Source organism: Homo sapiens, chromosome 16, assembly GCF_000001405.40.
Source record: "Homo sapiens chromosome 16, GRCh38.p14 Primary Assembly".
NCBI classification, from domain to species: domain Eukaryota; kingdom Metazoa; phylum Chordata; class Mammalia; order Primates; family Hominidae; genus Homo; species Homo sapiens.
Genome location: NC_000016.10, coordinates 83,952,483 through 83,977,278, shown reverse-complemented (window position 1 = coordinate 83,977,278; position 24,796 = coordinate 83,952,483). Strand labels below are relative to the sequence as shown.

Below are 24,796 nucleotides of genomic sequence, written 5' to 3'. Positions count from 1 at the left end.
AGAGAAACTATGTGAGTGGCATGGAGGTCAGAGACAAGAGGGAGCCCATGACAGTTCCTGGCCCCCAGCCTCTCTGCATAAACCCCTGGCATTACTTCCAGAGGATCTGCATTCAAAGCTGGGTGCTTGGGACAAGGGCCCTGAGAGTCCACATGGCACCTTCCTATGGATTAGAAAAAGACTCTCCTTTCTCTGCCGAGAGGATGAGACCAGTGTCAGTGCACATGTGTTGAAAGCGGATTGCAGCCTGGATTTGAAACCCTCCATTTCCTCGGGTGGGTGCCCTTGTGCAGCGCACAACCTGCCTAACCCGACATGGCAGACGTACTTGGGTTGAGAATGAGTCATTCTTAAACTTTAAAGGCTCCAGTGCTTCTGTCTGTGCTCCCAGCAGCTCTGCTGGAGCTCAACACAGGGTGAGAGCATAAGCTCAGGAGAGGGGGGGTCCTCAGATCTTGCCAAGGTTTCATGCCACCACTTTTCTCTTTAACCCCATAGAGCATAAAGTATCAGAGACCGGTAAAGAATATGAACGTGTGGGCACGGGGGGCTAGGGCCAATATCCCAAGATGCCCCCATCGCAGCTCAGATTTCAAGGTTACAGTGGGAAGAATTTCTGTCTTTCAAAGGAAAGGCCAAAAAAACCCCAATCCAACCACACATGCACAAACCAAAGACCCAAAACCTAACAACTAAAAGTCCGCAAAGTCAGCCACGAGATAAGTGAAATCGAAGTTGTTGCTTTCTGTGTTCTGTGACAGAGGATGCCTTCCGAGTGTCTTCGGCAAGCCTGAAGATAAAACCCAGGAATCCCAGTGTGGAGTCACACCACACGTGGAGTACCTTCCACGGACTCACTCCTTTAGTCTTCTTAACACTCACGACACAGGTAGTACTACCACTTCCATGTTAGAGAGGGGTAAACTGAGGCACAGAGCCCTTAGGGTACTTGCCTAGGTCCTACAGCTGAAGCTTGAACCCAGGCCATCTGGCTCCCAAGTCCAGGCTCTCAACCTAATCCAGGGGTAGGATCTTGTGGCGACATCGCCACCTACCCAGCAGGGGGTGGGTGCTGGCTCAGGCACCCCCACTTTGGGTGAGGGGCAGTCACCATGGGCATGACAGGGGTTGTGAGCCCCAATCCCAGCCTCCCTCTGGCTGGCTCATCTCCCCACGTGCCTGTCCAGGTACCTTGGGCCCCCTCTGCACACAGGGAGAGCAGGCAGCCAGAGACCAGCAAGGTGCCCCCTCGGCACACAGGGAGAGCAGGCAGACAGAGGCCAGCAAGGTGCCCCCTCACTAAGCTTTCGGCTGACATTTATCCTGAACGCCTGATCACGGCCCTAATGAATTCACTAATGAGGAAAAAACATGCCCTACGTAGGCCCCCAGTCCAATTAGACAGGCCAAGCGGGCCCGCGCTGGCACTTTTGCCAGAGACCCCAAGCGGGCCGTTTGCAGGTGTCTTTGCTAATTAGCACAAACTCACTCTCTGTCTCCATGACCTTTCAAATGCCAAGAGCCTGTCAGCCTGTCAGCGTCCATGTCCCTGAAGGGAAATGCTGTCTGCCACTCAGCCCTCTGCCACCCCCTGAGTTTATGTCCCAGGCTGCCAGTCAGGCCCCTCATGCTAACCTTCCCATAGGGACTGGGCATCCGGTATCCAGCTCAGCCAAACAAGTCTCTGTCACAGGAGCCACCCTGACAGGGCAGCCCTGAGCCTTTGTTCCTGTAATCTCTAAGTCCTAAGGGCAGCCTGGGGGGTCCTTTGAGTTTGCACCCCATCTCCCGCTCCCCTGAGGCATCCCATCCATCCTTCCTGTGGACACGTGAGGCAGGGCTAGCGTCAGTGTTGAGCAGTCCTGTGTGTGCTTGTGGGCCTATCGGCCTCCACATCTGCACCCCCTGCACACCTGTTCTCATCCCTGCACACCTGTTCCCATCCCCGCACCCACACCTCCCTGCACACCTGCTCTCATCCCTGCACACCTGTTCCCATCCCCGCACCCACGCCTCCCTGCACACCGGTTCACATTCCCGCACCAACACCTCCCTGCACACCTGTTCCCATCCCCGCACCAACACCTCCCTGCACACCTGTTCCCATCCCTGCACCCACACCTCCCTGCACACCTGCTCTCATCCCTGCACACCTCCCTGCACACCTGCTCTCATCCCTGCACACCTGTTCTCATCCCTGCACCCACACCTCCCTGCACACCTGCTCTCATCCCTGCACACCTCCCTGCACACCTGCTCTCATCCCTGCACACCGGTTCACATTCCCGCACCCACACCTCCCTGCACACCTGTTCCCATCCCTGCACCCACACCTCCCTGCACACCTGTTCCCATCCCCGCACCCACGCCTCCCTGCACACCTGCTCTCATCCCTGCACCCACACCTCCCTGCACACCTGCTCTCATTCTTGGATCCACACCTCCTTGACACCTATTCTCACCCCTACACTCATTCCTCTTTCCCCAGCCATTCTATTCCCACACCACTCCCCTATCTATACCCACACCAAGTCCCATCCCCACTCCTACAAGCTTTTAAGCTGCTGTGTTGAATCAGAACCTGCCTGCACCGCTGCCCCCCGACCATGTGAAGAATATCACGTGCCATCTCCGAGCCTTGTTTTCGTCATCTGGAAGGAGGGTGGGGGTTGATACTTCTTGTCTCAGGAGGATCACAATGAAGATTAAAGGAAAAAGCACATTCAAGTCCTGGTGCATAACAGACGTTCAGTGACTGCTGGCAGCCTCCCCCAGACCGAATTCCCTGCTGAGCACAGAGGAATCAAACCCCTCTGGACAAGCCACACCTGCGGACTCCCATTTCCGAGGCATTTGAGGCAGAGCAGCGGGGACTTATTGATATCTTCAATGAGCGAAGCCAGGAGAGCAACTATCTATCCTCAGACAGCCCTCTGAGGTGGGTGCTGTAATTATTCCCATTTACAGATAAGGAAACTGAGACTGCAGAATTTGGTGACTTGCCTGAGGCCAGAGCCGGTACGCGGCTGAGCCAGGACTTGAGCCTAGGCAGTCAGGCTGGGGGACCTGGGAAGCTCTTGCTGGAACCCGCATCTCACACCCACATTCACCCTGGTGACAGCCCCTAACGGTCACATAGTGGTGGCTGGTAAGATGTAAGCCCCAAGGAGAAGGAACAGGCTCGGCCTTTGAGGAGGCTGCAGTAAGGAAACTGAGAGTCCCACAGCTGTGCTCAGGGGGTGGACACATGGCCTCTGATGGGGGGAGCCTGCAGCAAGGACAGAACCCCATCTGTGCCCGAGGGGGCCAGGCACCACCTGCCCAAGTGTATACACTGCAGTGGCTCCTGCAGAGCTGCACACTCAGGAAGCCACACACGCACACTAACTGCACACACACTCGGGATGCACAGCCATGGCTAGAGGCCCACGCTGGACACACGCATTCCCAACAGCCTCACGCTGCTGAGTCACCGAGATACGCACAGCCACGCTCTCACCAACAAACACGTCCACCAAGTCTACAGACATTTACCGAGGACCTACTGTGTGCTGGGTATCAGGCCCGGGACAAGGGACAAACCCAAATCCCTACCTCTCAACCTGCTGGAGGAGCCAGGCCAGCACACAGGCAATGACGCTGAGGGCTCCGGCGACCCCATCTCAGGGACAGCCCCCTGATTTCCCCTCCTCATCTCCAAGGCTTTTCAGGCCATGATGCTACGGCTGTTTTTCCAGAGCCACTTCATCTCCCTACGTCCCTCTTATTCCTCCTCTGCTCCGTATGGAATCACTGCTGATGGTCCTTCTTCCCCAGAGGCCTGGGAGTGGTCACTGTCACCCCCCAGGGATGCAGGAGGCCAGGGTGGGAGACTCGTTGGAACTGATTCCAGCCCAGGCCTGTGCACCTGCCCTCCCACCATGCCCAAGGCCTCCAACTCCACCCTGCAACCGCCCTGGGTGGGAGCCGTCAACAGGAACTCCCAGGGATGAGGCGGGTGCTGGAGACCCAGGCCAGAGCTGCCACCCTCAACTGCAGCTTGTGCAGGAGAGGAACCGGGGCCAGAGGCGTTGGGGACCAAGGGCCCTGGGGCAGGTCACAGGGTCTCTGTTGCGTGCTCTTCCCCTGCCACAGGCTTGGTACTTGATGTGCATTTTCTCAATGAATGAACATACCGGGAGCACGCGATTCTCTTTAAAAACATTTGTCACCCACACCGCCTCTCTGGCTTTTCCCCAAAACCCAGGGAAGGAGGCAGGGCAAGTGTTATTGCCCCACTTTACCCACGGGAAAACCAAGGCCCAGAGAGGGAATCTGTCTTGGTTCAAGTCCACGGTGAGTTGCGTTGCAACTGTAATAATGATTCTGGTATTTTTAAGAAGGTGCTTTTTGTCAGCCGAGGCTCAGCTGGGCCGCCTAAACGTGCTTATTCTCTCAAGGCCTGGGCTCCTTCTGCAAGTGAAGCCCCTCCAAGGAGTCGGGAGAAGTGGAGCGCTATGAATTCCGTGGCCACAACAAGGCGCTGCTCACATTTTTAAAGAGGCTGAGAGAGAAAGGGAAAAGGGCCCCGGTCTTCAGGAGAGCCTCCGTTTCCTTCATGCAGCTGGGCAACCCTGGGGCAAATTGCTTAACCTCTCTGGGCTGCTATGGTGTCAACAGAGGCAAGAGCACTGACTGCTCAGGTTGCTACGATGAAGAACTGCACCAAGGCTTGTGAAGGGCCTAGCGTGAGGCTGGCGGCTTCCTTTCAAGGAGGGTTTCTGGGCCCCAGCCCGGGCTCCTCTGGTCCAGCCCAGCTAGGAAAAGGCCTAAAGTACACCCAGCCCTTACCACGGCCAGTCATTGTTCTTGGCATCACAGACAAGACTCACTGAGCCCTTGAGTGGAGCTGTCCCTACTAAGTAGGCCCTACTAGGATTCCCGTTTTACAGACAGGGAGGTCAAGGCACAGAGCAGCAGCAGGATTTGGCCTTCTAACTTCAGACCCCTGCACTCCAAACCTTTAGGTTCAAGGTTGCGCTTGTCTCCTATCCCTGATCCCTTCCCCATGAAGCACGAGGACAGAAGGAGTGGGGCGGCCGTCGGCCTGGAAGGGAAACTCACCATTTTTGTCCGCACGGCGGAAAATCTGCAGAAAAGAGAGGCGGAGTCAGCCCTGGGCCAGGGAGAGGCAAGCGCTTCCTGCAGCCTCTGACCGGATACTGGGATCCTTCTCTTCTCCCAGGAGCAGCTTAGGGTCCTGGGAAGCTGAGCCCCCCTTCCCTCTCCCCCTCCCCGGGCTGGGATCCAGGGGGAACTGATGAGGGATGTTGCAGACAGAGGCCCTCCCCTCACCCACGTGGAAGCGGCTGCCAGTACCACCAGCCTGCTCCCAGCCACGCTGACACACACACGCAGGCCCACGGCCATCCCTGCAGGTGTAGGTCCACAGTCATCAGTCCACGTGGCTTCACCCACCGCCAAACGCTCAGCTGCACACAACCACACTCCGAATCAGTGTCCCAGGGAGCGCCACAACCTTTACCACTGCAGTCCTTCCAAAACCCCTGGTGTGTTTCCAGGGAGGTTGGGCAAAGTCCGACAGAGGTGTTTGCAAGGCCTGGTGACAATGCCAGCCACGGGCAGGACTGCGTTAATTTTGGGGTGCAGGAGGAGAAACAGGACGCCAAGAGTTCAGAAAAGCAGCCGCAGACGAAGTTCCGGCTGCATTAGGCAGGGATGGGTGGAGGGCAGCTCCAAGGCTGGCCTGAACCTACAAGACCAGGTGCCTCCTCGTTCTGCCTTTCCAGTGACATCTGAATCCGTGGGACAGAGCTGCTCCCCTTTCCTCAAGGTCTGGCTGGCAGGTGCTGCTTGCCAGGCTGAGGCTCGAAGGCAGCTTTCCGCCCCTTCCAACACCATCGCCTGGAGAGCTTTCAAAACCTCCTCAGCCCGGGCCACACCCCAGGGTGACTGAATCAGCTGCTGTGAGGCCCACTCTGATTTCAGCATTTTTAAAGCCTCCCAGGCCCAATGTTGACACCTGTGCGCTAAGACCTTGCTATTCACAGGAGCTGTTTGGGTCCTGCAGGAGCTTGTTTGCAATGCAGGATGTCCCACCTACTCTGCACTGTAGTGGAGTCAGACCTTTCACTGTAACCAGTTCCCACGGGGACTGATTCACCAGCACTATTTTTTTTTTTTTTGAGATGGGGTCTCGCTCTGTCACCCAGGCTGGAGTGCAGTGGCGCGATCTTGGCTCACTGCAACTTCTGCCTCCCGGGTTCAAGCAATTCTCCTGTATCAGCCTTCCGAGTAGCTGGGACTACAGACGCCCGCCATCACAACTGGCTAATTTTTGTATTTTTTAGTAGAGACGAGGTTTCACCTTGTTGGTCAAGCTGGTCTCGAACCCCTGACCTCAGGTGATCCACCCGCCTCGGCCTCCCAAAGTGCTGGGATTACAGGCGTGAGCCACGGCGCCCTGCCCACCAGCACTTTAAAGCCTGAGAAGGATCCCAGCTTCTGCGGTGGCCCCCACCCCAATCTCAGTGGCTTGTTTTAACAAGGAGGGTACTGAGACCCAGGGAGAGGCAGCAACATGTACACATTTCCCGACACCAGGGAGGGCTGCTGGGGCCAGGTCAGCCATGGAGGAGGAGGAGGTAATACTCACTCTGACCCTTCCACCCTCTGTCCTCGCCTTGGGGTAAAGGACAGATGCCCTCGCCCCCCATCCCTCCAGGCAACGAGAAAGGGGGCACCCTTGGTCATTTCTAGGCACCTGGGCGGTGAGACTGAAGCACAGCTATGGGAGGGCCTCTCAAACATCACCCCTCCTCCTGGCTGAACCTCAGATCCCCAAGCCCTCCTCAAAGATCCAGCCTGGGCACCCCGCAGCCCCGTTCCTGACTGGGCAAGGCTCCTCAAAACTGGGGTCCCTATCTGGGTGTCCCAGATCCCCCTTGAGGCCAGGCACCAGGTAGGTGCCGGCTCTGGGCAGGAATGCTGAACACATGAGTGACATGGCAGGGCTGACACCTGGTAATGTCAGCCAGCTCCAGGAGTCTGCATGAGCACCTCCCGCCCCACCCCCCGCTCATCACTCCTTTTGGCAGGTGAGGAGATGGAACCTCAGAGCCCCCACCCTGACTGGGCAGGGCTTCCATGCAGGGCAGCTTGGGGCTGCAGGGCTCTGCCCAGGACTTTCAGTGGGAGCTCTGCGGGGGTCCTGAGGAGGGGATGGTTTGGCTGCATGGGTGTGTCTCTGGCTGTGTGTGCGTGCGTAAGCGAGTGCGTGAGTGTGTGAATGTGTGCCTGCGAGTGTGGCACTCTAGAGCTCCCCCTGCTCTGGCCGGCCCTCCCAGCCCAGACCCCGGCCAAGGGTTCCAGGAGCAGGGAAGAGGAGAGAGGAAGGGAGGGAATCCCCCGACTCACAGGGATCCGCGATACACGCGTGTGCACATTCACACACACCCACCACTCTCCCAGAAATCCACCACACAGGCAGAGGCAGCCCCCAGCCCCACCCCAGCAGGACCCTCGCTGAAACACGCAGTCAACATCCCCAGAAGCCTCCTCCACCTCCTCCTAGCACTCTCTGCTGGGAGAAGTCCTCCTCCTCCGAGCCGCCCCCTGAAGATTCCTCCCTCCCGGGTGGGGCGGGTGGGAGGGTGAGGTGGGCTTCCCAGAGATGGGTGATTTGGGTCCCAGGGGAGTTAGGAGGGGTGAGGGGTGAGTCTGGTCCATGAAGAGGACCCAGCTCTCTGTAGGGTAGAGGGGTGTGGGGAAGGGAACAGAGGACTTGGAATGGAAGGGGGCGGGGTGGGGAAGACCAGAGGGGTACCAGCTCAGGGCTGATGGGCGATGGCTCTGGCTCAATGGAAAGGAGACGAGAAGACAGAAGGTGGGGAGGGGGCTTCACTTTTAAAGTGGCAGTAGCTGGGGCAAAGGGTCTTTGAGCGTGAGATGAACGGGGGCTCAGGGTCTAGGGCGAAGAGAGGTGGGCTAGAGGTAGGGGTTGTTAGGGGTCTCAGAAAAGTATCGCTCCGGACAGGATCCGGGATGGAGAGGAGGAGGCGGCTGGACGCGGCGAGGGGCTCCGGTCCCGCGGGGTAAAGGGTGGGGGTTTGGCTTGGACAAAACTAGGGGGACAGTGGCCGGGTCCGGGGGCTCACGGCTCCCCACTGTGGGCAGGCAGGGACTCCGAGAAGCGCCGGTGGAGGGGCGGAGGAGGGGGGTCTCCCGGTCCAGGGAGAGGACTGGGCTGGAGACCGGCCTGGACGTGGCGGGGCTGGGGGCTCCCGCTCCGGCACGCGGAGGGGCCGGGGGTCTCCTGCCCGGGTAGGGAGGGCCTCGCGGGTCGCGGCGTCGGGGTCCGCCCGAGGGGCGGAGGGGGCTCCGGGTCCCAGCGGAGGCCACGGCGGGGGTCCCGGCCGGCGCGTACTCACGTCCAGGATGACGGCGGTGCCCCCGCGCGGCGAGGCTGGGCCGGGGTCCGCGGGGGCGGCGGGGGCCAGCGACTCCCGGGGCTCGCCCATCCTGGCGCCCACCCAGCGCAGCAGCCCGCCCAGCGCCCGGCCCTGCTGCGGCGGCTCCCGGAGCAGCCTGTGCGCGCCGGCCCTGCACAGGCGCGCCGCCCGCTCGCACATCGCGCCGCGCCCGCCGCCGCCGCCCGGAAGCCCGCCGACCCCCGCCCAGCTGCGGCCCGCCCCCGCGCGACCCCCTCCCCGCGCTGCCCGCGCCGCCCCGCCCTCTCTCCCGCTGCCCCCGCGGCCGCGGACACCGCGGGGACTGGCCGGCGCCGGGGGGCGGGCCGGCCGGACCCCGAGCCACGTGCCCGCTCCCCGCCGCCCCCACCCCCGCCGGCCGGGCGCGGGGCCTGAGGACTGCCCGCCGGGGCGAGGGGCGCGGGCGCAGCCACAGAGGGGGCTACCCGGAGGGGAGGGGTATGTGGGGCCTGGGGGCGGGGCGGCGCCCCTGGGGCCTGCTCCCCAAAAGTCTCCTGCTCTCCCCGCTTCTAAAGTCCCCCCTCCCACTCGCGGCGCGCAGCAGAGGCCGAAGCGCGGGTGTCCAGCGAGCCCGGAGCGCCCTCTGCCGGCTCCAGCCCCGGGGAGCGGCGCCCACGCCCCGCGGCCCCGTCACGCCCGCGGGCGCCCATCCTTAACTCCCGCGGGCGTGCACGCCCCCTCAGGCCGCCCCCTTGGTTACAAAACGCCCAGAACCAGTCTTCACCCCAGAACATCTTTCCTTCATACTCCATCCACCCATCCATCTATCCACCCACCCACCTGTCCGTCCATCCATCCATCCATCCATCCACCTGCCTACCCGTCCATCAATCCATCTATACATCCATCCACCCATCCTCCCATCCATCCATCCGGCCGGCCGACTGTCCGTCCATCCATCCACCCACCCTCCCAACCATTCATCCATCCATCCATCCACCCACCCAGCATCCTCCCATCCATCCATCCATTCACCCACCCACTCATCCTCCCTCCCTGGCATCCATCCATCCACCCTCCATCCATCCATCCATCCACCCTCCCATCCATCCATCCATCCATCCATCCATCCATCCATCCATCCGTCCATCCATCTGCCCGCCCGCCCATCTGTCTGTCCATCCACCCACCCACCCTCCCATCTATCCATCTATCCACCCCCCTACCCTCTCATCCATCCATCCATCCACCCACCTACACACCCTCCCATCCATCCACCCACCATCCTTCCATCCATCCATCTATCCTCCCTCCCTCCCATCCATCCATCCATCCTCCCTCCCATCCATCCACCCACCCACCCACCCCCCTCCCTCCCATCCATCCATCCATCCATCCACCCACCCACCATCCTCCCATCCATCCAACCATCCTCTCATCTATCCATCTGTCCACCCACCCACCCATCCTCCCATCCATCCATCCACCCATCCATTTAAAAGATGAATTAAGGAGAACCCACTAGGTGCCAGGCAGGTGCCCAACCACGGAGTTCCAGCAATGGGCAAAACAGATGGTGTACTTGGTCTCCCAGAGCTCCTGGAGCTTACATCCAAGTGGGCAGAGCCAAACACTGAAATGATTCCACAAACAAATGAACAATTAAAACTGAACTGCTGGAAGGGTGTGGTGGCTCATGCCTGTGATACCAACACTTTGGGGAGCCAAAGAGGGCGGATCACTTGAGGTCAGGAGTTCAAGACCAGCCTGGCCAACATGGTGAAACCCCGTCTCTATTAAAAATACAATAACTAGCTGGGCGAGGTGGCAGTCACCTGTAATCCCAGCTACTTGGGAGGCTGAGACAGGAGAATCATTTCAACCCAGAAGCAGAGGTTGTAGTGAACCAAGCGCCACAGCACTCCAGCCTGGGTGACAAAATGAGACTCTGTCTCAAAAAAAAGAAAAAAAAACTGCACTGCTATGAAAAGGTAGCACCTTAGACCATGAAAGGAGTATTTGCTGTGACGGCAGTGGAGGGGTTTGTGTCAGAAGAGGCTTCCTAGAGGAAGTGATTCTTATGCTGAGACATCCCAAGGAAAAGGAGTTAAAGAAAGGCGGGAAACTGTCCTGGGCTGGGGACTCTCTGTGCAAAGGCCTTGGGGCAGGCAGAGACCTGGCCAGCAGGAGGGACTGAAAGGAGGCCGCATGGCAGAACAGAGAGGAGGGAGGCCTGGGACAGGCTGCGGAGGGGGCGGGGCTGCAGCGCCCTCCTGGACATCACTGCCTGCACACACCCGCCACTCCCACCCCCAGACTCTAGTACAGCTGCCCGCTCAACTGCCCCCACACTTGGGGCACCATCCTTTGTACCCCAAGGCCCCAGCCATGGACCTCATCCAGGACCACATGCCCCAGGACTCCTCCCACAATCCCCTTTCCTCCCTTCCCCCCAGCCCAGTGCAGGGTTCCGGGAACGCAGCTCCCTCCGAGCACAGAGTCCTCAGACGCATGAGAGCAGGTGGGCACTGGCTTTATTTGGGACCTGCTTCTGGAAGGCGCAGGGCTGCAGGTCTCCTGGCTGGGTGCTCAGCTGGTCACACCAGCAGCTTTCCCCACAAATCCCAGGTCTAGGCCAACCCTGGCCTGCGGCCGCTGTTACCACCTCAGACACTGGTCTAAGTCCAGGGCAGCCTGGGATCCCTACTCCTCTTGACCCCAAAGGCCAGCAACGTGGGCTGACACCCCTCCCCGGGGCATCTTTGGACGGGTCCTGCATCCAGCAGGGATGTGGTCATCTCTGTCCTCTCAGGGCCTGGGAGCCAGCGGGTCTGGCCGAGTGTTAGGGTGGCTTCCTGGTCTCCTTCCTTAGCAGGGAGCTGGCCACAGCCAAGGCGCCCCCCTGCACAAACCTCACGAAGTTGTCCCCGGCCAGCGGCCCCATGGCGTACAGGCCCTCCTGGCGGGTGCTCTGGTAGGTGAAGGGGTCCACGTCAATGGGGTTCCTCTTGGCGCTCAGCGGCTGGTCAGGATCCACTGCAAAGTCAGCCCCTGCCCCAGGCAGGAAGGAGAGGTCGGGGTGGGAGCCGATGAGGACCAGCACCAGGGAGACCCCAAACACCTTCTCGACACCCTCGAGGTCCTGGAACACGGCCTGGCAGTCTTCCTTGAAGCACAGCAGCTGGTGCCTGGGGAGGCTGCGGTAACCCTCATAGGGGCTGGGCGACAGGATGGACTGCTCCCGCATCATCTGGTGCACCTTGTGGTACTCGGGGTACAGCATCTTGGGCAGCTGGTTGAACACCAGGCCAGGGTCGTCCACGGCCCGGCGGAAGGCATGGATCACCGGGATGTTGTAGTGGCGGGCGTAGAGGACCGCGTCGGCCGCTGACAGCCCCGCGCCAATGATGAGGACAGGGTCTGAGGCCGGGGTCACCGCACCCACCCTTGTGGCGGCCTCCAGGGCAGACAGCTCATGGTGGATGAAGGGCAGGGCCTCCCCGGGGATGCCCAGCCGGGCCGGGCTGTCGAACGTGCCTGTGGCGAGGACCACGTTGCGGGCCCACAGCGAGAAGGGCTGCTGGGCCTGGTTCCTGGTCAGGAAGCCGCTCACCTGGAAGAGGGGGCTGGAGTCCTGGGCCCCACAGCTGCTGGGATCGGGGGTCCCCCACTCCACGGCTGTGACTACAGCACCGGACACAAAGTTATGCCCCAGACCCTTCTTGACCACGTAGTCCCTGTAGTAGTGGGCGATGTCCCCGGCAGTGGCCCGGCTGTTGCGAAGACCTCTGTTGGGGAGGATGCAGGACGCCAGAGTCAGACACTGTTAGGGGTTGGGGGGCTGGGTGGGACGGGAGATGTCCAGGGCAGTGTCAGGCCCTGGAGCTGGACTAGGCTGTAGCTGTAGGACTAGGCCAGGTAATTCAACCTCTCTAAGCCTCAGTCTCCTCTTCTGTAAAATGGAGCTAACAAGGGTGCCTCCCTCAGGAGAGGTGGTGTAGGGTGGTGTAGGATGCTCTAGGGTGGTGTAGGGTGGGGTTCAGAGGGCAGCCTCCAGAGCCCCGCTGCCTGGGCTCGAATCCTGACTCTGCCATCAGGGAGCTGTGTCTGTTTCCCCAGTTTGCAAAATGAGGAAGATGTTGGTGGCAGGACCTATTTCGTGAGGTCGTGGGGAGGATTTGGTGAGCTGACAAACACAAAGTGCTTAGGATGGAACCTGACTGGAAGTAAGTGCCATGTAAGGATAGGCCACCATGATTGTCACCTCAAATGATTAAATATGGTATGATTCCATTTTTACAGAGTTCAGAAACAGGCAGAACTCATCTATGGAGCTGGATGTCAAGAGAGGGGTTACCTCCGGGGATGGGGAATGGGATCCTGATCAGAAAGGGCATGGGGGCTTCTGGGAGGGGGCCTGCTTCTTCATTCTCTGTGCTTACCTTGAGAAATTTCATCAACCTGTACTCACAGGAGTTACGTACTTTTCTATATGTAGCCAATTTATTATTTTATTTTATTTTATTTTATTTTATTTTAATTTTTTGAGACAGAGTCTCACTCTGCTGCCCAGGCTGGAGTGCCGTGGTGTGATCTCAGCTCGCTGCAGCCCCTGCCTCCCGGGCTCAGGTGATTCTCATACCTCGGCCTCCTGAGCAGCTGGAACTACAGGCATGCAGCGCCATACCTGGCTAATTTTTGTATTTTTATTAGAGATGGGGTTTTGCCATGTTGGCCAGGATGGTTTCGAACTCTTGACCTCAAGTGATCCACCAGCCTCGGCCTCCCAAAGTGCTGGGATTACAGGCTTGCGCCACCGCACCCAGCCTATATGTAGTCAAAAAGTTGATTTAAAGTTGATTTAAAGACTCCCATGTGACGCACTCACCATCGTTCCCAGCCCACGCAGCAGCAGGAGGTATTCTATTATTGTTGTTGTTGTTTGGATTGTCACTCTTTCCAGGGGCAGTGACTGCAGGCCCATTCTTGTGGCGGTTGAATGACAGGCTTTGCATCATTCTAGCACCTTCCTGTATCTCACTGTGTGACCTTAGATGAGTTAATCTACCCAGCTTGTGGGCTCATGGTTCAAGATGAACTCCCATACGGGAGAATCCTGTGCCACCTGCCGTCCGGCTACATGTAGCAGGAGCTGACAATGGACCCCCAAGGCCGTGCCAGTCAACCCAGCGCAGCCCGTCTGCGACCCTGGAATTTATCTCTGTGGGCAGTCATTCTTTTCTCAGTTTTTGTAAAGATTGTGACACAGAACGGTCCCAAGAGCATGTTCTGTGCAGAGTTATTTATAATAATGACACAATGGAAAGAATGAATGCTCCAGGGCTGGCAGGGGCTGGGTAACCTTGGCAGTGCCATGAGGCAGGGGGTGTGTCTGCGGTGGTTTTGTGCTCTGACGTCTAAGCCCAAGGCCTGGCACATAATAAGCATTCGGTGAAGATTTGCTGGACTGGGGATGCTCACTCGCCTTTGGGAATATTGTGAGGCCATGTAAAAGGATGGTTTTGAACGCTGTGACTTCACCACATGAAACGCTTGGGATACAATGTGAAAATGCAAAATGAGCCTATAAAAGGCTGTGCTTACAAGCGAAATGTAAGTTTCTGGCTGCCTACTAACATGTAGCTACACAAACCTGGAAGTCTTCCTGCCAAACATGCAGAAGAGTCTTCGCATCAAAGAGATAGTGAGGCCTGGAGGGGGACGCCTGGAGTGCCTGCCGTTGGGGACACAGGCCTGGTCACAGCCCTGGGGGCGGAGGAAGCAGGGCTTCCCGAGAGGCAGACTGCACCCAGGTATCTGCGCTGGGGCAGCTTCTCATTGAGTGGATGCACCCCAGGAGGAGCAGGGACTAGAACTCCTTTATTCAGTGATTGAAACTGTGAGAGGCAAATCAATCTTGGGGCCCCCAAATCACTAAGTTAAAGGAAAAGTCAAGCAGGGAACTGCCTAGGGCAAAGCTGCCTCCCGTCCTACTCAAAGTCTTCCCTCTGCCCACTGAGATAAATGCACACCTGATTGCCTCCTTTGGAAAGGCTTATAAGAAACTCGAAAGAATGCAACCGTTTGTCTCTCACCTGTCTGAGACCTGGAAACACCCCTCCCTGCTGGAGTTGTCCCGCCTCTGGACGGAACCAATGTCCATCTTACATATAGTGATTGATGTCTCAAGTCTCCCTAACGTATACAGCCAGGCTGTGCCCCGACCACCATGTGTACATGTTATCAGGACCTCCTGAGGCTGTGTCATGGTTGTGCGTCTTCAACCTTGGCAATTAAACTTCCTAAATTAGCCTGGCGTGGTGGCTCACGCCTGTAATCCCAGCACTTTGGGAGGCCGAGGTGGGCGGATCACGAGATCAGGAGATCGAGACCATCCTGGCTAACACGGTGAAACCCCGTCTCTACTAAAAATACAAAAAATAATTAGCCGGGTGTGGTGGTGGGCACCTGTAGTCCCAGCTACTCGGGAGGCTGGGGCAGGAGAATGGCTTGAACCTGGGAGGCGGAGCTTGCAGTGAGCTGAGATCGCGCCACTGCACTCCAGCCTGGGCGACAGAGGGAGACTTCATTAAAAACAAACAACAAATAAACAAACAAAACTTCCTAAATTAACTGAGACCCATCTCAAATATTCAGGGTTCACAAACCTTTTCTCTAGGGTGGCCATGATGGGGCAGGAAGCCAGATGGGGAAAAAATACCCCAGGAGTGAAAGGGCGTGGAGAAGTGTGGGTTTGGGGTGAGCTGTTTTCCTTCTGCATTTCCAATAACCTGCATGACCTTAGGTGAGTTAATTTACCCAACTTGGGGGCTCATGGTTAAGGATGAAACTCACCTGTAGCAAAAGCATTAAAAAAAAAAAAAAGAAAAGAAAAAAGAAAGTCACCCTATTAGCTGACCCAGAAAGATTGTTCTAGGCCAGGCTCAGAATAGAGGAAAGGGCTGAAGGGAGACCACAAGGACTGGGGGACCTGTGCCAGAGGCACGGGGCAGGGCGTGGGGCTCAGGGGCCAGGTGTTACCCCCTCCTTAGAGGCTGGGGCACTATGGGGAGGCCCAGTTGGGGGCCATGTGACAGGGCGGTCTGCTGCTTGCACGGGACAGGGGGTCCTCGGGTGAGCCCAGCTCTGCTGCTCACCCCCACTCATGTGGGGTGGACAAGTCCTTTCCCTATCTGAGCCTCAGTTTCCCCCTCTGGAAGAAGAGGAAGACAGACCAGATGCACTCTGAAGCCCCTGTACCTCTGGCTCACGGGCTCACTGTGGGGGGCCTGTGAAATCCCCCAAATCACTAAGCTAAAGGGAAAAGTCAAGCTGAGAACTGCTGAGGGCCACCCTGCCTCCCATTCCATTCCAAGTCACCCCTCTGCTCCCTGAGATAGATGCGTATCTGATCGCCTCATTTGGAGAGGCTCATCAGAACCTCAAAAGAATGCAACTGTTTATCTCTCACCTACCTGCGACCTGGAAGCCCCCTCCCCACTTCCTGCCTTTGCTTCAAGCTGGCCCAGCTTTCCAGACCGAACCAATGTACTTCTTACAAATATTGATTGATGTCTCATGTCTCCCTAAAATGTATAAAACCAAGCTGTGCCGGATCACCTTGGGCACATGTCATTAGGACTTCCTGAGGCTGTCACGGGCGCGTCCTCAACCTTGGAAAAATAAACTTTCTAAATTAACTGAGACCTGTCTCAGATTTTCTGGGTTCACAGGCCCAACCTTCCGTGTCCCCCAAGGCGTTCCGGGGCGGCCTCACCTTCGCTTCTTCTGCATCCAGTCCTTGACCTCCAGGTCCGGGAGCCCCATCCACTGGCCTTGGCTCAGGATCACCATGGAGCCTTCGATGGACTGCAGGGAAAGGAACCCTTTGGTCCAGGCCTCTGCTCGCCTGAACCCATTTGGGGCTAGAGGGCATGGGAGGCCTTTGCTGGGGCTGGGTAGAGGGAGGAGGGAGAGGCAGGGTTGCGGGGTGGAGAATGAGGAAAGGGAGATGCCAGAGTCCCAGCCCCAAGTGGGGAGAACGAGGGAGAGAGCCCCCCACAAGCCATGCCCTCGCTGCCCCACTCACGTGCCAGGCTCCCCCGGGGAGGTTCCGGCCCAGAACCACGTGGGGGATGGCGTGCTCCTTCCGGTGCTTCCAGGTGAGGACCGACTTCATGTTTCCCCCAAAGTCTGTGTCTGGGCGTAGAAGGGCATCAAAGAGCAGGGCCACGGGGCTTTGGGATCGGCCTTCGAGGCCTTCGGACAGGTAGTCCAGGTCCTGGAGGGGGGCATAGGTCAGAGGGGCTGCTGGAGGAGGGCGGGGTCGTCTTCCCAGAGCCTGAGGCTGGGCAGGAACGTGGGGACTGGGGCCGGGCCATTTCCCTGGCACTGGAGGGTCTCAGAGAGATGCGCACCCTGGGGGTAGTTTGAAGCTCTCGTTTTGAGGTCTTTCTAGGAGGCCAAGGGCCCCAGAGTACAGACCAAATGCGCAAGCTTGGGTGAGACTGGAGCGATTGCCTGGTCCTACATCCCTACCCTAATATCAGTGTGGTCAGATCAGCTTGGGAGGTGCTGCCTCTTAACAGCAGATAACACAGACGGGCATATTAAAGGCTCTGACAAGTCCTGCAGCCATCATTTACCTGTTTAATTTTGCCAAACCCAGTGTGTCCCTGTTTTACTGGAGTGGGGACATTTTTCTCTCTATATTATACTGAGGAACTAGTATTCTATAGAGAGCACTTTGAAAAATGCTGATCTAGATCAAATGGTCAAGACCTATTTCCTCATCTCCAACTCAGGGGCGGGAAGGGAACAGGAGGATGTACACTGCCTGACGAGGGAGGTCGACAAGGGGAGGTCGTGGAGGAGCACAGTGGAAGACAAGGGGTACGGAGGGAGGATTTGCAAACCCTTGTGGGCAGGAGGTAGTGGGACTGAAATATCTGTGGTGGAGTTTCTCAACCTTGGCCGCACTGACATTTGAGCCAGATCATTCTTTGTAGCCAGAACAAAGTCATCCAAATGTCAGTGGGGCCAAGGTTGAGAAGCTCCACCACACATATTTCAGTCTCACCACCCTCGTTGTCCTGTGCAGTGCTGGATGTTTGCCAGCATCCCTGGCCTCCACCCTGCTAGATTTGGTAGTACCGTCACCCTGCCATGACAACCCAAATTGTCTCCAGACATTGCCAGGTGCCCCCCGAGGAGAAAAATCATCCCCTCCTTGAGAACAACCGGCCTAGGGCATAGTGAGCCCTAGATCGTGTGGCATTTGTGGGTCTCTGATTTCTCTTTCACGATCTCCGTGGCTGACTTTGTGGACTCTCGAATTCTTTGTTTAGTCTTGTTTCCAGCAAACACACACTTTTGTTTTTCCCTGGGAAAGCGGCGGTAGTTTTCCAAGGGCGGGTATGTACTACCCAGAGCTCTGGCCCCAGGCTGACCCACCTGGTCCAGGATGGAGACCCCCGGGGCCTCGGTGAGCTTCCTCTGCAGCAGGGGGTGTGGGTGGATGGCATCTGGCTTCGTGTAGGGTGTGTAGCCGGAGAGCAGGTAGGACAGGCAGATACCAGAGGGGCCGTTACCTGGGGAGAGAGGGTGGAGGTTAAAGGGGGTGGCCTTTTCAGGTGGGGGACACTACTGTGGAGGGCTTTGATCTAGATGCGGCGCATTCATTCATTTATCCTTCATTCATAAAAATAAATATTTATTAAGCCCTTAGCCTGTGCCAGACACTGTGCCTAATAATACTTTTAAAAAGAAGGAATGAACAACTGCTGAGAGCTTACTCTGTGCCAGGAATTGTACTGAGAGCTTTCACAACAGCCTCACAACAGCTTTAGCGAGGTAAGTGCCACTCTTTTCCTCCTTTTATACTTGAGGAAATGGGCACAGAGAGGTTAAGTTACTTGCCTGTGGTCACACGGCCGGAAGGTAGACGAGCCGGGATTAAAACCCAGACAGAGGGAATATCTGACGACGCGACTGAGATTCTGAGATTGCTAAGAACTAGGTCAGATGGATGAGTGAATGTAGCACAGATTGCTACGTGGCCTGGGGGCGAACTTGAGTGGTGGGTGCTTGTGGGCGCTCAGGGGTGCTGAGCCGCCTGTTGGGTCTGCTGCTTGCACGTCTGAAGAACTGCGCTGCCATCTGTGGCGCTTCCTGGGCGATTCACCAGGCACAGCCCTGTGATAGCGCTTCTCTTTTTATCTGTCCTTTCCCCTCTTCTTATCTCGTCTGATTCGGAATATTACTCATATGCAGGATACCAGGAAGAACCATATGAAATCACAGGCACCCATCTGCTTTTGCCTTACAGAAATGACCATCTCACGTGGCTTAATCGGACGCCTGCATACTGGGGGGTCATCTGTCCCCATTTGTGCAGACAGAGGACAGGAATCATAAGCCGCTACTGTGTGTCCTCTCATGTGGGCACCTAGCACAGTGCTGGGCACAGGGTAGTCATGGGATCAGTGTGGGCTCAGGACCAGGCCTCCCTGCGCCACGCCGGGTCGCCTCCAGCTGATGGGTGTGTTCTAGACCCCTGGGTTCTCGGAAGTGTGAAAGGGAATGATAGCTTATAAACTGCTAAGCCTAGCACTGGCCACATAGTAAACGCTCAATGGCTTAATTTAAAGACCACTGTAAAGAGGCCAGGCCTGGGCCAGGCATGGTGGTTCACACCTATAATCCCAGCACTTTGGGAGGCTGAGGCAGGCAGATCACTTGAGGTCAGGAGTTCGAGACCAGCCTGGCCGACATGGCGAAACCCCATCTCTACTAAAAATACAAAAGTTAGCTGGGCATGGTGGCATGCACCTGTAATCCCAGCTACTTGGTAGGCTGAAGCAGGAGAATCGCTTGAGCCCGGGAGGGAGAGGTTGCAGTGAACCAAGATTGCACTACTGCACTCCAGCCTGGGCGACAGAGTGAGACTTTGTCTCAAATAAATAAATAAATAAATAAATAAATAAATAAAAAATAAACCCCAAAAACGAAAAAAGACACCAGGCCTGGACTTGCCCAGCTCCTGCCCTCAGACCTGGGGGGTACCCGGAAGGCTCAGCGGAGCCCCTCCCTGGCTGGGGCCTGACACTCACCCACAATGATGACCGGGAGGGGCTCTGAGCTGCTGGCGCCGAGGTGGTCCTTTCTGGAGGAGCTCATGGCTGGTGGGGGGCTTGGGGCTGGCAGCGGACCTGGAGTGGGGGAGAGGGGAAGGAAGAGTCCATTCGGGTGAGGCCTGGGTGTCCACACAGCCACTTCACCTCCCAGCTAGGGTGGCCTCCTGTGGCCCTCAGGGTCTGGTCCGGGGTCCCCATGAGACATATCTGACGGGACTCCCTTCTTGCTCTCACACAGCCTCTGCTCCAAACAGGCTGTTTGCCCCACCCCTCCCCAGTCATGCAGAATGTGCCCTCCCCTCCTCGGGCCTGGTTGCCCCAGGCAGCCACTGTCCCTCCGAGCCTCACTCTACTCTCCCATCTCACTGGGGCAGTAACAGTCCCCGAAACTCATTATCTGTCTTCCCGAGAGGCCATTCCTGCCCAACCCAGGAACCAGCCCTGCCAGACCCTTCTGTGGGCCACAGTCCTCGAGTCCCAGTGTGGCCTGGTGGACTCGTCATCCAGCCCTGGCACGTTGCTTCCTATCCCATTCCCGGGCCTCTCTGGGTCTCAGTTTCCTCATCTGTAAAATGGAAGCAATGAGTCCCTACCTCCTAGGGTGGTTGAGGGACACAGTAGGATCACAGACGGGAAGCACCTGCCTGGAGTGAATCTGCCACAGGGAATGGGCCAGCGCTGTGGCCTGCCCCAGGAGCTGGGATGGACTTGGGGAAATGGAAGCAGTGGCCAGGTTTGGGGACGTGCTGGTGAACCTGCCATCTCTGGGGCAGCCGCGCCCTCTGCTGGCCGCAGGCCCAAATCGCTCAAAGGGACCCAAGTGCTGGTCCTAGAGCTGCCGGTTCCCAGAGGAGCATCAGACCTACCTTCTTCCCCACACCAGCTAGCAGCGGACACCAGCCTCACCCGAGGGCCACATGCTGCCATCCTGAGGACCACAAGGCAACACCCTTGTGGGCACAGGGATGATGAGCATTTGGCACTTACTGTGTACCGGGTATTTGACATGCTTTTTCTCATATCCGCCTCACGCTGACCCTGTGCAGCCCTGGCCATATTAATGTCCCATTTCACAGATGTGTAAACGGGGCTCAGAGAGGTCGCACAAACTTCTCAGTGTCACACAGCTGGCTTTGAAACCCAGGGCTCACTGGTGCCAAGACCCTGCCAGTGCCACCACCCACACCACTCGGCCTGTCCCTCGAGATCCAGGGCCCATCCAGGTGTCACACTCAAGTGGGCGGGCACAGGGCTTGGACCACCCAGAGTGGCCAGGGGTGGGGGCCCAGGGCCACCTGCCTCCAGAATTCTTCCAGAGAAAGTGGGAATCTGGATTTCTATGTGAATGATCTGAGTTGAAGAAGTGGGCAATGAATGAACGCAGAGTTTTGGAAGATGCTTAAAAGGCCAACCAAACACAGCTGAGACCAGTGTGTGGCCTCTGATGTGTGCAGGGTGACAGAAACACCTTCGTCCACCTCCAGGCAGGTCCCGAGGAGAGGGATGAGAAACTGCCACACAGATGGGCCACTGAGAGGACCTATGTGTCGCCCCCACAGTGACAACAACTGACCTTCTCAGAGCACTCTACAGTTTGCAAGGAGGTTGCATCTAAGCAGTAGCGTCCAGCCCGCTCAGCAGCCTTGAGAGGTGAGCCCTGTCACCTCTGTCTTGCAGGTGAGGAGAAGGAGGCTCCGAGGGTGAGGATGTGCCTAGCGGGGAAGGGGTCTGTCAGGGACCCCTGTGTCGGTGCTCTCTGCTCCCTTGAGCATAGCCTTTCTTGCCTCCACTGGCGTGGGGGCCAGGGACAGCCTCCGTGTCCTGTCTAGGCAAGCTCGTGTGCCCAGCACCGAAGACCTCCTCCTCCCTTTCCAGAGAGAAGGAAGGTGACACGCTGCAGTCACCAGGGACCACATGGCCTCTTCATGCTCAGCTCCCTACAAGACCCCAGGCTGCCTGCCTTGAGGGGGAGATTTCAGGGGGACGCTGCCACCAATTATAATAGTAGTAGTAGTTACAAGAACAACAAAGACAGCATGTGGCTGACATTTCCATACTTCTGTGGAGTGGGCTGGGTGCCAGGCATGATCTCAACACTTAATACACGTTAACAAATTGAATCCTTATTTAATCGGGTTGTTGTAAGTACTCTGAGGGCCAGAGCGTTTCTCACCGCCCTTTATAGTTTGCAAGGTGGTTGAACCAGCTCTTGCAGGCTGGGCTGGATCAGAGCCCAGGCCGCCCTGCTCCAGAGCCTTCTCTGTGCCCCAAGTGCTGTGAGAGGTCCTGCTGAGACCCCTCTGCCGGGTGGAACGTGCAGTGTCCGTTCCAGGGTCCCCCACTTCTCTGTCGCAGCGCTAGTGGCAGGCGGGGAGGCAGAGGGACAGCTGAGGACCTGGTGTTCTGGCTGGGAAGGGATCATTTCTCATTGACTCTGGGTGCTGAGTATACCCAGAGGCCTTGGAGAACAGGACTACGGGTCTCAGAGTGCTTTCTCTGGCTTGCTCCTGATACCCTCGAATGGCTCTGGGCCCCTCAGTCCTCATCATGGTCCCCGGGAACAGCAGCCACTGGGGAGCATGGGACCTCCTGGTAAAGGGCTTCCCCGCATCACCTCCTTTGATCCTCCTAGCAACCCACTTTGCAGATGAGGAGACTAAGGCTAGGAGAGGTGAAGCCGTGCCCTGAGGCTACAGAGCCGGTGGGCGATGGAACTGATATTTGATCCCCGTGGGCTGACACCCCCAGGCACCCCAGCCCCTTCACCAAACGAGTGAGCCAACCTGCTCCATCTGCCCCAGTGCGCCCACCCTGGGCCATGCCCTGCCCCTCCTTTGTTCTTTCAGATTTTCCCACCACCCCAAGAAGGGCATTTGCAGGAGCCCCTGCTGGCCAATGAGGAATCAGAACTGGCTGCCCCTTCCCACCCTTTGCAGGCAGCAGAGGACACTGGTTTACCACCAGGGCTTTGGGGCTCCAAGTCCAGGGCTCCCTCCTGGGACTGTCCTCAGGCTCTTGAACAGAAGCTTCTGGATGCCACATACATGAGGTCACCACCCAGGGGCTGGACCTGAGAAGTCACTTCCCGTTCAGAGTGACACAGGACGCCCCAAAGTCCGAAGCAGCTTGACGCTGTCACTCATAACCTCGGACAAATATGCTGCCAACTTACAAAAGAGAGTTCAAAAGTTTCATTTCAATTCCTTTTGTGCTTTTTAGTTTTACGGAGTTGGAAGAATCAATTTTTAATGTTATCTTTTTAAGTCCCTTTAATTGAAGATGGCAGATGTTGATGGAAAGAAGTTAACATTAAAAATTGATGTTTCAAATTTCACAAAGGCAAACAGGATAAAAGAAATGAAAACAGTTGCACCTTCGACTGACGTTTCTTTCAAGTGTGCGGCATTTGTACTTCTGAGGTTGTTAAAGCTGCAAACTGCTCTGAGACTCTGGGACACCTGTATGTCTGCGTTTCTTTGGCACCTCTAGTGGCCATTTACTCCTTTGCCTTTGAAGACACCCCAGGAGGTGGGTGTTCTTATCCCCATTGTGCAGAGGAAGAAAAGCTGGTCAGGAGGAGTGGGCGTCTTGCCCCAGGTCACCTAGGAGGGTCCAAGACCACGGCCATGTGACAAATCTTAGTTCTGCCAAGTCCCCTCCAGTAAAACAGCTGATTACAGGGAGACCAAGAAAGTGACACGAAGCCCTGGGGGCGCTAAAGTGTGAGGGGGTGGTCTGTCCACGCAAGCGGCACTTGCCATTTATCACAGACGAGCCCTCGCCCCAGTGCCGCACACCTGGAGCCCAGGGTCTCCTGCAGCTCCCCAGCCTCCCAGGGGCCGCCCTCCCAACCCGCCGCACTCTTGAGCCTCCTGAGAGAAGCTAAGTCGCTGGGACCTCCAGGGATGGGGGCTGTTCATGGGCACCCAAGGGCTCTGTCCCTCCTGAGCAGGAGAAGCAGAAACCCAGAAGGCACCCAGCCTGGCTGCCGACCCAGTGGCCTTGGAACAGCTGGGCAGTAAGCCCGGGCTGGCCACACCCCTCTTTCCTGCTAGGAGCGGCGGTCACATGGCCCAGGGTACGCTGGGACTGTGGCCGCTTCAGCTGCTTGGCTGAGGGTACCAGGCACCTGGACAGGGACACAGCTGAGGATCTGGGAGGAACCTGGTGTAGGGGAGAATCCTGCCGGGCTCCAGAGAACCCAGGCGAGGGCCTCCACTCAGGACCACCCGGGACCCCCGCCTGGCGCCAGGGCTCTGCAGACCCTCCGGTCCAGCTGGGCTTGCCACGGGTGCCTGGGATGTGCCTGATTCCCTGCCCCGGAACCTGGCCCCGGACACTCACCTGACAGGCAGTGGTGCAGGAGCCCAGTGAGCCCGGCCAAGTTGTGCACTAGGAGGGTCAGGGGAACACGGATCACAGAGTCCCCCGCGAGATCGGGACACCCATTACCCTGTGGGGATCCAAGAGGCTCTGAGAGGCCAGAGGGAAGTGAGGGTATTTCACGGGGAGGGAGGAGGCGGCGCAGGCAGTGGGCGGGGCCAGGAAAATCACTTTCATAAGCGTGAGTCAGCAGGGGCCCGTGATGAATGAACTTGCACACTGGGCGGGTGTCACGCTGCCTGCCTCATGGCCAGCCTTAAAGGGCCCCTGCTGGGCGGCCTGCCAGGGGGCCTAGGGTGGCGCTCCCTCCCAGCCACCTCCCCCTAGCCAGACCCCCATCCCTGGGGCTCAGTCTCTGGAGGAGGAACCAGTGACCTCTGAATGAGCCAGCCTGGCCTTTGCCATAAGCGAAGAGGAGATGGCTTTGTCCCGCACACAGTTAAAATAACAGTACCTTTAAGTGGCGAAACCCCGTCCAGTTCCCGCATTCCACCTGGATTTCACTGCACCCTCCAATCCCCAAAAGCCCTCTGGCACCAGCCTGCCTGGGCTGCGAATCCAGCTTTGCCATTTCCCAGCTGCAGGGCTCTGGCAAGCTGCCTTAGGGCCCGCACCTCAGTTTCCTCATCTGAAAACTGGGGCCAAGTCACAGATTGTCTCTACCAGAGTGGCCGTGAGGGTTTACATGACATCCTTCTTGTCTGCCATGCTTAGAACTTGAAGCCTGCTCCCAGGCTCTTCTCTCCTGTTTTATGTGGGTAGCACTGCACACCCCACACCTTGCTGTTTCTTAATTATTATTATTTTGAGAAGGAGTTTCGCTCTTGTTTCCCAGGCTGGGGTGCAATG

The 24,796-nt window shown here is 57.6% G+C and overlaps 2 protein-coding genes across 5 annotated transcripts in view, besides 5 other annotated features; both read right to left on the bottom strand.

Moving 5' to 3' along the window:
- The window catches only part of NECAB2 (N-terminal EF-hand calcium binding protein 2), a 37,600-nt gene extending 25,498 nt beyond the window's left edge, over window positions 1-12,102 (bottom strand). The window contains exons 1-2 of one of the 4 annotated variants that reach the window (XM_047434240.1): window positions 12,043-12,102; window positions 5,104-5,128 (exon numbers count right to left, since the gene is read on the bottom strand). In XM_047434240.1, coding sequence (XP_047290196.1) covers window positions 5,104-5,106 — 3 coding nt within the window. In that variant the 5' untranslated portion in view covers window positions 5,107-5,128; window positions 12,043-12,102. Of the gene's footprint in view, window positions 1-5,103; window positions 5,129-8,429; window positions 9,036-12,042 lie in introns of those variants that run through there. The other 3 variants (NM_019065.3, NM_001329748.1, NM_001329749.2) reach the window with 3 other exon arrangements.
- Window positions 2,821-3,115: a silencer, noted in NCBI's record as "tiled region #13657; K562 Repressive DNase matched - State 20:ReprD". NCBI's record gives its function as "represses a minimal TATA promoter and a strong SV40 promoter by Sharpr-MPRA in K562 cells {active_cell/tissue: K562}" and the evidence as "EXISTENCE:reporter gene assay evidence [ECO:0000049][PMID:27701403]".
- Window positions 3,320-3,821: an enhancer, noted in NCBI's record as "H3K4me1 hESC enhancer chr16:84007063-84007564 (GRCh37/hg19 assembly coordinates)". NCBI's record gives its function as "activates a minimal SCP1, AML or CMV promoter by ChIP-STARR-seq in naive and primed H9 embryonic stem cells {active_cell/tissue: H9 hESC(naive and primed)}" and the evidence as "EXISTENCE:reporter gene assay evidence [ECO:0000049][PMID:30033119]".
- Window positions 8,970-9,159: a silencer, noted in NCBI's record as "silent region_7772". NCBI's record gives its function as "represses an Ori minimal core promoter by ATAC-STARR-seq in GM12878 lymphoblastoid cells {active_cell/tissue: GM12878}" and the evidence as "EXISTENCE:reporter gene assay evidence [ECO:0000049][PMID:35858748]".
- Window positions 10,947-24,039, bottom strand: OSGIN1 (oxidative stress induced growth inhibitor 1). Its single transcript, NM_182981.3, has 6 exons — window positions 23,909-24,039; window positions 19,541-19,639; window positions 17,883-18,019; window positions 16,519-16,710; window positions 16,207-16,298; window positions 10,947-12,217 (listed from the first exon to the last, which is right to left on the bottom strand). Exons 2-6 carry the CDS (start codon window positions 19,605-19,607, stop codon window positions 11,272-11,274), a joined length of 1,434 nt encoding a protein of 477 aa, NP_892026.1. The 5' UTR covers window positions 19,608-19,639; window positions 23,909-24,039; the 3' UTR covers window positions 10,947-11,271.
- Window positions 22,457-23,226: an enhancer, noted in NCBI's record as "H3K4me1 hESC enhancer chr16:83987658-83988427 (GRCh37/hg19 assembly coordinates)". NCBI's record gives its function as "activates a minimal SCP1, AML or CMV promoter by ChIP-STARR-seq in naive H9 embryonic stem cells {active_cell/tissue: H9 hESC(naive)}" and the evidence as "EXISTENCE:reporter gene assay evidence [ECO:0000049][PMID:30033119]".
- Window positions 23,715-23,764: a silencer, noted in NCBI's record as "silent region_7771". NCBI's record gives its function as "represses an Ori minimal core promoter by ATAC-STARR-seq in GM12878 lymphoblastoid cells {active_cell/tissue: GM12878}" and the evidence as "EXISTENCE:reporter gene assay evidence [ECO:0000049][PMID:35858748]".

Excerpts from the sequence above, each read along its gene's own strand:
- OSGIN1 (NM_182981.3), bottom strand. The coding sequence starts at position 19,607 with ATGAGCTCCTCCAGAAAGGACCACCTCGGCGCCAGCAGCTCAGAGCCC. Across the intron at positions 16,711-17,882 it reads GGGTCTCCATCCTGGACCAG|GACCTGGACTACCTGTCCGA; the intron begins GTGGGTCAGCCT and ends GCCCCCCTCCAG. Across the intron at positions 16,299-16,518 it reads TCCCCGGGGGAGCCTGGCAC|TCCATCGAAGGCTCCATGGT; the intron begins GTGAGTGGGGCA and ends CTTTCCCTGCAG.